The sequence below is a fragment of the Homo sapiens genome, chromosome 10 (genome assembly GCF_000001405.40).
Source record: "Homo sapiens chromosome 10, GRCh38.p14 Primary Assembly".
In the NCBI taxonomy this organism is placed as follows: domain Eukaryota; kingdom Metazoa; phylum Chordata; class Mammalia; order Primates; family Hominidae; genus Homo; species Homo sapiens.
The window spans coordinates 93,218,536-93,230,997 of record NC_000010.11 but is presented as its reverse complement, the minus strand read 5'-3'; the positions used below and the strand labels follow the sequence as shown (position 1 = coordinate 93,230,997).

At 44.6% G+C, this 12,462-nt stretch overlaps 1 annotated feature.

Moving 5' to 3' along the window:
* Positions 9,712-10,006: an enhancer, noted in NCBI's record as "tiled region #9432; HepG2 Activating non-DNase unmatched - State 23:Low". NCBI's record gives its function as "activates a minimal TATA promoter and a strong SV40 promoter by Sharpr-MPRA in HepG2 cells {active_cell/tissue: HepG2}" and the evidence as "EXISTENCE:reporter gene assay evidence [ECO:0000049][PMID:27701403]".

Here is a 12,462-nt window from a genome sequence, read left to right as displayed (position 1 = left end):
GTGAAGATATTTGTATCCCACATCAGTGCTCACCAACGGGTGACCTCAGCAGAAGAGGATTTTCTGTGGACACCACTCAGCCTCTTTCCCTAGCCACTCCTGTCATTGCCCAATGCCCATGAACAAAGTGGCTGTCGTGGCAAGGACGGAGGTTACTCATGGGATCAGCAACACGGACTTACACTCACGAATGCTGACCTGGCTATGGCCACTGCTGAGTGCCCAATTTGCCAGCAGCAGAGACCAACAATGAGCCCTCGATATGGCACCATTCCTCAGGGTGATCAGCCAGCTACCTTGTGGCAGGTTGATCGTATTGGACCTCTTCCATCATGGAAAGGGCAGAGGTTTGTCCTCACTGGAATAGACACTTACTCTGGATATGGGTTTGCCTATCCTGCATGCAATGCTTCTGCCAAGACTATCATCCATGGACTCACGGAATGCCTTATTCACCTTCATGGTATTCCACACAGCATTGCCTCTGACCAAGGCACTTGCGGCTAAAGAAGTGCAGCAGTGGGCTCATACTCGTGGAATTCACTGGTCTTACCATGTTCCTCATCATCCTGAAGCAGCTGGATTGATAGAACGGTGGAATGGCCTTTCAAAGTCACAATTACAATGCCAACTAGGGGACAATGCTTTGCAGGGCTGGGGCAAAGTTCTCCAGAAGGTTGTGTATACTCTGAATCGGCATCCAATATATGGTACTGTTTTCCCCATAGCCAGGATTCATGGTACAGGAATCAAGGGGTGGAAGTGGAAGTGGCACCACTCACTGTCACCCCTAGGGATCCACTAGCAAAATTTTTGCTTCCTATTCCCATGACATTATATTCTGCTGGCCTAGAGGTCTTAGTTCCAAAGGCAGGAATGTTGCTACCAGGAGACACAACACCAATTCCACTAAACTGGAAGTTAAGATTGCCACCTGGACACTTTGGGCTCCTCCTACCTTTAAGTCAACAGGCTAAGAAGTTAGAAAACTGGAGTTACAGTGTTGGCTGGAGTGATTGACCTGGACTATCAAGATGAAATCAGTCTACTACTCTACAACGGAGGTAAGGAAGAGTATGCATGGAATACAGGAGATACATTAGGGCATCTCTTAGTAGTACCATGCCCTGTGATTAAGGTCAATGGGAAACTACAACAGCCTAATCCAGACTGGACTAAAAATGGCCCAGACCCTTCAGGAATGGTTTGGGTCACCCGACCAGGAAAAAAATCAATGACCTGCTGAGGTGCTTGCTGAAGGCAAAGGGAATACAGAATGGGTAGTAGAAGAAGGTAGTAATTAATACCAGCTACGACCACATCATCAGCTTCAGAAGCGAGGATTGTAATTGTCATGAGTATGTCCCCCTTCTTTTGTTAAAAATATGTTTTGCATATATATACTTGTGCTAAGAAAATATCTTCATTTTATTTTCTTTCTCCTTTATCATGTGACATAAGATTTATTGACTTCACATTAGCATTTAAGTATTGTTAACTTTATGTAATAGTTTTTGGGTTGGGGATTGGTGCGTTTCCAGTTGTATGAAGGATAGTTGTTTTATGTTAGGCATAATTATGACCTTATTATTGTCTTTACTTAAAGATTATGTATGATCTCAGGAGATGTGTATGGGTTCAAGTTGACAAGGGGTGGGCTTGTGATGGTTAATACTGAGTGTCAACTTGATTGGATTGGATGCAAAGTATTAATCCTGGGTGTGTCTGTGAGGGTGTTGCCAAAGGAGATTGACATTTGAGTCAGTGGGCTGGGGAAAACAGACCCACCCTTAATCTGGTGGGCACAACCTAATCAGCTGCCAGTGAATATAAAGCAGGCAGAAAAACATGAAAAGGTGAGACTGGCCTAGCCGCCCAGCCTACATCTTTCTCCCATGCTGGATGTTTCCTGCCTTTAAACATCAGACTCCAAGTTCTTCAGTTGAGACTCAGATTGGCTCTCCTTGCTCCTCAAGCTCGCAGAGAGCCTGTTGTGGGACCTTATGTTTGTGTACGTTAATACTCAATAAACTCCCCTTCATGTGTATATATATCCTATTAATTCTGTCCCCCTAGGGAACCCTGACTAATACAATCTCCATGTATTTTTTTTTTGGCTATAAGCTTACTTTTTCCAAAACTTTTTATTTAAAAAATTCTCAAGCCTACAGAAAAGTTGAAAAAAATATAGTGCAACCCGTATCTCTATCTATATCTATATCTTTATCTATATCTATATCTATAGATATATATATTTTTTGAGACAGGGTCTCACTCTGTCACCCAGGCTGGAATGCAGTGGCACAATCTTGCCTCACTGCAACCTCTGCCTCCTGGGTTCAAGCAATTCTCCTGCCTCAGCCCCCCGAGTAGCTGGGACTACAGGTGTGTACCACCATACCCAGCTAATTTTCTGTATTTTTAGTAGAGACAGGGTTTCACCATGTTGGCCAGGCTGGTCTCGAACTCCTGACTTCAGGTGATCCACCTACCTCAGCCTCCCAAAGTGCTGGGATTACAGGTGTGAGATATGGCGCCCGGCCCGTATCTATATATTCTTTATCTAGAAAATTCGGTTAACATTTTATCATATTCGTATGGGGTTGTTTCCTCTCTTACTCCATTCTCTTCATATAAATGTTTTCTACTCCTCTCCCCAATCATTTGAGAGTAAGTTGCATGTCTCACTTACATGTGATGTCTGCATCACAACACTTCGTAGCTAAGTATTTCCCAAGAACAGGAATATTTTCCTATCTAAACACAATATAACTAGCACACTCAGGAAATTTAATCTCAATATAATACTATTATCTAATCTGGGGTTCATATTCGAATGTCCTATATTGTCCCCAAAATGCCCTTTGTAGCTTTTTAAAAAGACATTAATGACCCAATCTAGAAACACACTTTGCCTCTAGTTGTCATAACAACTTTTTTCTCTCTTTCACTATAGTGATATTTTTAAGCATTCACTCAGGTTATTTTGTAGGATGTTCTTCAACTTTGGGTTTGTCTGATTGTTTTTTCCTAAGTAGGTTCAAGTTAAACAGTTGGGCAGGAATATTAGAGAGATCTTTCTCCAATGTGTATCTTAGATGTATCTTTCTCAGTGCATGACATCAGGAGGCACATGTGGCCACTTTGTCTCATTTTAAGTGATGTTAGGTTTGATCATTTGGCATACAAGTATTTTTTTCCCTTCTAATAAGTGGACATCAATGAAGTGATATATTGAGGCTGTGAATATCCTTTTCCCTTGGTGCTTCTCAGTGGTTGAGCATCCCTTGATGAACCTTTACTTGCCTCTGTTATTGAAATGGGTGGTTGGAAATGATGACTTTTAAAATGTCATTGTTCTTTTTACATTTATTTGGTGGCATTATTCTATAAAAAAAGATATTTTCCATCTCACTCTACACTTATTATTATTTTTAGTGTCTCAATGGACTCATTGATTTGTTTTTGATGTGTTATTATTTATAATTTTCACTGTTCTTCTTAATGTTCCAATTGACCCAAATTTAACCAATGTGAGCTCCTTCAAGATGGCTCCTATGTCTTTTTGACATCTCATCAGTTTTTGAACACTTCCTTTACTTTCTAGCATAAGGAGATATTCCAGATTCACCTTGTATTTTCCCCTACCCAGCCCTTAAGTTATCCATTTCTTCAAGGAGCCCTGGCTCCATTTAGAGCTCACTACTACTGGACTGTCATTGTTTCTAGGCCTTTGGAGTAAACAGAGCTAGGAAATATATATCTGTGTATATATAATATAATATGTATACATTTATTAGATTTATAATATATAGAACATATATTATGAATATATATTTTAAAAGTATGCATTTGTACTGATACTTTTGATTCCAATCCAACACCAAAGTTTTTTTCTCTTTTCTTCATTCCATATTCATGTCTCCCTTCCCCTAGAGTAAAATCTTTTTTTCCCAAATATGAATATATATATATAAATGAATATATATTTATTCATTGACTACAATATACTCAAAATAGTTTAATAATTACTTCCCCACAATCACCACTGACCACAAACTGCCTAAGGTAAAGATTTTTTCAGTTTTGTAATCTTTGGACTACATCCCACCAAGTTTGTGCAGTTAGAGTACTTTGTCCAAAAGTTTCTTGGATTAGTTCTTTGTTTTCCTCTGTGTGGTTATATTATCAAATTGACCTACGGTTATATTCCACTAAGCTTTTAATAAATATTGAGGACAAGCTCAAGGTCATAGTCACTGATAGAACCTAGAAGGCAATGATCTATGTTGCGAATTCAGGGCAAACTCATGCTTTTAGTCACTGATGGGGAGCAGAACCCACATCCAGACCAGGACCCTTCCTCTTCCACATGACATGAAACTAAGAGGCAGGATAGAGGCAGGAGGCAGAGAAATTCTAGGCAGACAGAGGCAGGTCCTGTCCCACCTTCAAGCCAAAAAGCCTGAAACCCACCACCGAAAGTGAGAACTTCTATTTCTGTTTGCCCGTTCTCTCCCTATTGGTTCTTTCTGAATAGTGCCTTTTAACCAATCAAATGTTGTCTTTTCCAAAACTACCTATAACCCACCCCACCCCCCCACCATCCTGTGCCTATAAAGACCCCAGACTCAATAGGGAGCGAGGAGAGATGGCTTGACTTGAGAGAGGCAGCCTGACTTCAGGTAAGGCTACCTGTCCTTCCTGTCCCCTTTCCAGCTCCCCTCTCTGCTCAATAAAATTCTCTACCTTCACCATCCTTCAATTCATCCCCATGACCTCATTTTTCCTGGACACCAGACAAGAGATCGGGACCCACCGAGTGTAGGTATCCAGAGAGTCTGTCACACTAGCCCTTTGCCCTCACTGGCAGAGGGCAGTCGCCCCATGTGACAAGGCAAGGAGCCAACTGAGCTGCTAACACGCAGCTGACCACGGACAGCAGAGCTAAGAGAGCACTGTAACACTCCCTCTGGGGCACCAGGGTAGCAGGCACCCCCACCTGGGTATCGCCATGGGCCCTACATGAAGCTTGCTCCTGCCAGCATCTGGAATGGCCAGCTGGATCCTGCACTTTTTCACTCATGCCTGGTCTGGTCACAGGCCCTGCATGAAGCTTGCTTCTGCTGGTGCCTGGAGCAGCTGGTGCCCAGAGCAACCGAATGGATCCCACACTTGCTCACTCATGTACTCCCTCCTGCAAAGGGTTGACTTTGGTGGGCTGAGTAAACAGGGCACGCCTGTCGTGAGTCCGTCGAAGGGGCCAAGAAAAATCCTGCATCAAAACTATCAGAAAATGAGCACACACATATGTGCAGAGCTAATGTCAAGCAAAGTTCAGAATGTTAAGGATCTAGGTTTGTCTCATTTTTTTTTTTTTTTTTTTTTTTTTTTTTTTTTTTTTTTTTTGAGATGGAGTCTCACTCTATCGCCCAGGCTGGAGTGCAGTGGCATGATCTCAGCTCACTGCAACCTCTGCTGCCCAGGTTCAAGTGATTCTCCTGCCTCAGCCTCCTGAGTAGCTGGGATTACAGGAGCCCACCACCACGCCCGGCTAATTTTTGTATTTTTAGTAGAGACAGGGTTTCACCATCTTGGCCAGGCTGGTCTTGAACTCCTGACCTCGTGATTCACCTGCCTCAGCCTCCCAAAGTGCTGGGATTACAGGGGTGAGCCACTGTGCCTGGCCTGTCTCATTGTTTTAATGCTTCCTTGATTTATGAAAAGAAAGTTGTGTATGGAGAACACCACAGACAGAAACAAAGGGAGATGAGGTAGGAATTAAAAGAGAGAGAGAGGCTTGGCGTGATGGCTGATGCCTGTAATCCCAGCACTTTGGGAGGCCGAGGCGGGCAGATCACGAGGTCAGGAGATCGAGACCATCCTGGCTAACACGGTGAAACCCCACCTCCACTAAAAATACAAAAAATTAGCCGGGTGTGGTGGCACACACCTGTAGTACCAACTACTCCGGAGGCTGAGGCAGGAGAATTGCTTGAACCCAGGAGGCAGAGGTTACAGTGAGGCAAGATTGTGCCACTGCACTCCAGCCTTGGTGACAGAGTGAGACTCTCTTAAAAAAAAAAAAAAAAGAGAGAGAGAGAGAGAAAGAAAGCCAGAGGAGAGAGAAAGAAAACCAGACAGAAAAACTGGCATCTGCATAGAATGGGGACCATGCAGTGTCCTGCAAAGCCCAAACTGTATCAGTCTTGGCTAACCCTTCCCTGAATTCTCCTCTTTATAGAGGGGGTGAGTTTGAATTGGAGGATTTGCCCTCCTGTCTGGTCTAGTCAGACAGCTGGGAGACCCTCAGCAAGCTCTAATGCTCCACAATTCCAGAAATTGGCCAAGCCTCTATTCCTAGCCAGAGAGACCTCAGCAGCTACTGTGGGTGTCAGGACAGAGTCTGTGTGATCAAGGTGCCATCGGGTGGTGCTGGTGTCTTTGTGTCAACAAGATAAGCCTTTCTCCTGATTCTTCTGGGTGCAAGTTAGCTGAAACTAGGATCTTCACTTTCATGGGTCATGCCATGGACAAGGAAAAAGGAGAGCTGAGTTCATCCTTTCTGATGTCTGTTTTATGCTGTCATGGCACAAAGGAAGACAGAAAGCCCCACATCTGACTTGGGAGTTGAAATCCAGGTGAGGGATGAGGATAAACAGGTGCCGAGGGCCTGCTGTTTATACAGGTGTGCCAATTCTCCGACCACCTTGGTACTGCCCTCCCATTGACGAGCCCACTAGTGGAGGGCCCAGCATCCACTCTGTACACCATGGTGGGCTGCAGTTTCATGGGAGAGCTCCATCTACTGGAAGAGCCCTCTACCCCATCTGTTCTCTAGAAAGTGGTTAATACACATTCCCCCTAAAGTAAAAACCTAGATGTCATTTAAAGTGTGATCCCTCCAAGAGAAACGTAAGTTCCAACAACAGATCTAAAGGCAATTGATGTTGGAGCAATAATGATGGAAATCTGGGTGGCCTTTTCCAAATACCAGTACAGGTGACATTGAGGGGCAGCAGCTCTTCAGAACTCACTTCAGATCATGACCCTGACCACTCATAAGGGTGCCTCTGAATGGAATAACAAGATTTGGGTGATGCTTGGAGGATTCTGTTTTCTCCTAATTAATTTATTCTTTTTGAGTTACCATAAAACTTGAAGGCCTAAGTAAATTCAGGGCACCCTAAAATGCACTTCAACAACAACCTGGCCAAAATCTCACAATATTCTCTGTAAGCTATTCCATTCAATTGCAGTGTCAAATTGAAGCATTGGTGGGGCCCAGGCAAAGTATGATAATATCACAGCTCCTCCCTCTACCCTATACTTGCTTTTTCACAGACAGTGAAACGTTGGCATCATTCTTCAGGAGACACATAAGGGAAGGTGACTGAGCACAGGTGTGGAGCCAGAGGCTCAAGGTATGGTGGAGCTGTGGCTGGCACTAGCTTCTGAGCTTTCCCGGTTTCCTTAACCATGACCAGGAGGCCCAGAGAGCCACAGGTCTGAGAGAAGAGTGAGAGGAAGCAAGGTTCCAGAAGCACCATCTCTGCGAAAATATGGCATTGAGGACTTGCAAACAGATTTACTAATGGGAAAAACTATGCTGAGAAACACTTTTGGTGTATCAGAGGACATGGGAAGATTTAGCTTAAGGTTCAAAGAAATCTTAGCAAAGAAAAGAAAAAGAGCAATAATTAGCCTCAGGAAACTAAAAAGTTATACAAGAAAATAAATGTCATGATAGTACACTACTTGGCTCAGCATTAAACAAGATTAACTGTGTGTTGCTTTGATTGATTGATTGATTGATTGAATGTGTGTGGAGATGGAGTCTCATTATATTGCCCATGCTGGTCTCCAGCTTCTGTGGTCAAGCAATCCTCCCACCTCAGCCTCCAAAAATGCTGGGCTCCCAAGCATGAGCCACCACCCCTGGCCTTTTTTGTTTGTTGTAATTGTAAGCTTGTTAGCAATATTTGACTTTTAAAACTGTGTTCAAATATTATTTTGATTGAAAGTTTCTTTGAAAAGTGTTTATTTTTTTTTAGGATCTTCTGCTAGAGAAAGTAGATTGGGCCTGAGTTCAGTGTGGCATTGGCAAAAAGTTAGATCTTGATGCCCAGTGGTTATGTTCTCCTAGCTCTTTTCTCTAAAAGATTCGAGTTCAGAGGAAAGTCAGAGGCTTGAGATGTGGCATCAGATTGTGTCCTCTTGGGGGAATGGGAACATCTGAAAGTCACCCATAGCTCAGGGCACTTCAAAAGCATCAGACATACTTGTGAGCTGGTCATTTCACTGGCAGGGCAGCCTGGGACTGAGAGTCAGTGGGCAGGCTCCAGTGCTGGCTCCACCACCGACAGGTTGACCTCAAACAGTTTATTCCACACATCTCACACTTTATCCTGGGCTTCAGTTTGTTCAGCTCCAAAACTGATAGGGCAGGGAAAGGGCACAAGAAAATTATCTACTGGTTGTTACATCCAGTCATGAAAGTTGATCCAGTACTTCCCACATCCCTGCTGGTCACAGGAGTTAAGCCTTGAACCAAAGCCCAAAAAGTTCTATACTCATGTGGTATTTAGCTTAGCAGGGGGATGGACAGGAAACCAGGAAGCACATACATAAATGACTACAAATCTTGGAGATAAAACTGATGACAAGCAGGTTGGGGGGAGCTTATTAGATGGGCTGGTCAGGGAAAGCCTCTCTGAGGAGGTAACTTTTGAGTTGAGATTTGCATGATGATAAAAGGCATTACAGGGTTTATCCAAAGTGCCATGGGAAGAGAGGGTTCAAAGGAGCACAGAAGGGCTTTAAGTGGGAATGTGTGATATGGGCTGATTTGTGTGTTAAAAACACGCCCTGGCTGCTGTGGGAGGACGAGAGGGGAAGCAGGGAGATATCTAAGAGGCTGCTGCTGTAGTCCAAGCCAGTATGAGGGCGGTTGGAGAAGAGTAAATAGATTTGAGCTATAATTGGGAGTTCTAGAGTATTTCTGCAGTTCTTCCAGCTGAGGTGATAGTGTAACCACCTTCAATCTGGCTCAAGACAAGTCTAGTCATCTTACCTTGGAAGGACCAGGCCATCAAGCCATAAGCAGCGATTTAATGGTGACTCCTCCTAAGGAAACTGCCAGGCCAAGCAGAGCCTTTGTGCACTTTTTGAAAGGACATCCTTTTCTCCAGGGAAATATAGGTCTATGCCAGGGCTCGTCATGGTTTGGCTGGTGAGGATGATCTCGCCCTGGGCTGGGTGCCTTTGTGCAGCCGGCCAGAGGGTAGGTAGCAGCTCTGTCTTCTAGGTGGGAAAGGACCTACCTTCAAAGCTGGAACAACAGAGACTTCCCAGACTTGTGGCAGTGCTAGGGACTGGGAGGAGGGACGGGCTCTGGTTAGAGCCCCCTTTAAAAATCCTTGATAGCTATGGGTGATCTCTAATCAAAACTATCCCCCCCACACACCCAAATTTAGCTTCCTTTCAGAGGGTGGCACGTCTCTCCATCACCACCACTCCCAACCTGAGTACCCGATGGAATCCCATTGCCTCATTTCACGAATGGGTAAACTGAGGCCAGGGAGAGCGGCCGCTGCTTGCCTGAGGCTGTGGCTGTCGAGGGTTGGGGCAGCTCTGAACCCCGGGTTGTTCGCCTCCCCAGGTGGAGCCCATCGCGATCCCTGGGCTCCGAGGGAGCCGCCTGGCCACCCAGCACATCGGGTGTCCTTGACTGGCCGCCTGGGCAGGCGAGAGGAATACGGGCTGCGCTTGGAGGGGATGCTCAAGTACCTCGGGAGGAGAAGCTTTCTGTTTTGCGGGAGAGGAAATAGAAGCCCTTGGAAGAAGAGACCTCATCCCAGAAAATAAAAGCTTAGGACAGGCTGTAAGGCGTCCCCTGGCGGCGCCTGCCTGCTCTCCGCGTCCCGCGGCCTCTGCGCCCCTGATGGAGCCGGGCCCACCCCGCGCCGCCGCCCTCACTTCCTTGCGAGGATCTGGAATTCCGGGGAGCCCCAGCCTGGCCCCCCGAGCCCAGGACCTCATTGACGGCCAGGAATTCAATAGCAACGGGCCGGGGGAAAGAAAGGAGGGAGCAGAGGGGCTAGAGAGAGAGAGGAAAGGACTGGAGGAGGAGAAGAAATAAAGGAGGCAAAGAAGCAAAGGTCGGAGAGCGGCACACTCTGACATTCATGAACTTCCAGGAAACCGTCTGGGATCTAGACTCCTCCCCCCAACCCCGGATGTTTCTGGTCTGTCCTTGATTGGCCCCATCTATGTTTGTCTTAGTCCCTTTTCTGTTGCTTATAACAGAATACCTGAAACTAGGTAATTTGTAAAGAAAAGAAATTTATTCCTAATAGTTATGCAGGCTTAGAAATCAGGGGTGGAGGGGCTGCTTGTGCGAGGACCTTCCTGCTGGTGGGGACCCTGCAGGGTCCTGAGACTGCACAGGAATCACGTGGCGAGGCGGCTGGGCAGGCTAGTCCCGGCTCAGGACTTCCGCTTCTAATGAAGCTACCAGTCCCGCTCCCATGATAACCCATTAAGTCATTAACCCACGAATGGATTATGACAGGAGCCCTCGTGACCCAATCACCTCTTAAAGGCCTCACCTCTCAATATTGCCACACTGGAGATTAAATTTCTCTCTCTCTCTCTTTCTCTCTCTTTCTCTCTCTCTCTCGTGTGTGTGTGTGTGTGTGTGTGTGTGTATTTGTGTGTGTGTCTGTGTGTCTTTTAAGTTCAACTTCTATTTTAGAGTAAGTGTGTGTGTGTCTTTTAAGTTCAACTTCTATTTTAGAGTCAGGGGTACCTGTGCAGGTTTGTTATATGGGTATAGCTCATGATGCAGAGGTTTGGGGTATGATTGATCCCGTCACCCAGCTAGTGAGCACAGTGCACAATAGGTAGTTTTTCAATCTCTGCACTCTCTGTCCCTCCCCCATTTAGTAGTTCCCAGTGTCTATTTTTCTCATCTTTGTGTCTCTGAGTGCCCAGCATTTGGTGCCCACTTATAAGTGAGAACACACAGCATTTGATTTTCTGTTCCTGCATTATTTCACTTAGGATAATAGCTTCCAGCTGTATCCATGTTGCTGCAAAGGACATGATTTTCTTCTTTATTGTAGCTGCGTAGCATTCCATGGTATATATGTACCACATTTTCTTCATCCAATCCACTGTTGATGGACACATAAGTTGATTCCATGTCTTTGCTATAGTGAATAGTGCTGCAATGAACTTACAAATGTATGTGTCTTTTTGATAGAATAATTTATTTTATTTTGGATAGATACCAGTAATGAGAATGCTGGTTCAAATGGTAGTTCTAAGTTCTTTGAGAAATCTCCAAACTGTTTTCCATGGTGGCTTAACTGATTTACATTCCCACCAACAGTGTATAAACATTCTCTTTTCTCTGCAGCCTCACCAGCATGTTTGTGTGTGTGTGTGTGTGTGTTTACTTTTCAGTGATAGCCATTCTGACTACTATGCGGTGGTATCTCTCAGATGGTAACCACTCAGATGGTTTTGATTGCATTTTTCTGATAATTACTGATGTTGAGCATTTTTTCATGATTGTTTGGCTACTTGTATGTCCTCTTTTGAGAAGTGTCTGTTCACACCTTTTGTCCACTTTTTCTTTTTCCTATAGATGGGATCTTGCTCTGTCACTGGAGTTCAGTGGTGCAAGTATGGCTCACTGTAGCCTCAAACTCTCGACCTCAAGGGATCCTCCCGCCTCAGCCTCCTGAGTAGCTGGGATTACAGTTGTGTGCCACCACATCTAGCTAATTCTTATATTTTTGAAGAGGCAGAGTCTTGCTATGTTGCCAAGGCTGGTCTTAAACTCCTGGACTCAAGCAGTCTTCAACTCCTGGCCTCAAGGAGTCTTCCACGTCAGCTCTCCAAAGTGTTGGGATTACAGGCATGAGCCACTGTGCTCAGCCTTGCCTACTTTTTAATGGGGTTATTTGTGCTTTGTTTGTTGAATTGTTTAAGCTCCTTATAGATTCTGGATCTTAGATCTTTGCCAAATGTATAGTTTGCAAATATTTTCATGCATTCTGTAGGTTGTCTGTTGACTCTGTTGATAGTGTCTTTGCTGTGCAGAAGTTCTTTAGTTTAATTAGGTCCCACTTGCCAACTTTTGTTTTTGTTGCAGTTGCCTTTGTGGACTTAGTCATAAATTCTTTCCCAATGCCAATATCCAGAATGATGTTTCCTAGATTTTCTTTTAGGATTCTAAATAGTTTGAGGTCTTACATTTAAATATTTAATTCATCTTGAGTTACTTTTTGTGTATGGTGAGAAGTAGGGTTCAGTTTCATTCTTCTGCATATAGTTAGCCAGTTATCCCAGCATCATTTATTGAATAGGGAGCTCTTTCCCCATTGATTGTTTTTGTCAACTTTGTCAAAGGTCAGATGGCTGTAGGTTTGCAGGAGATTAAATTTCAACATG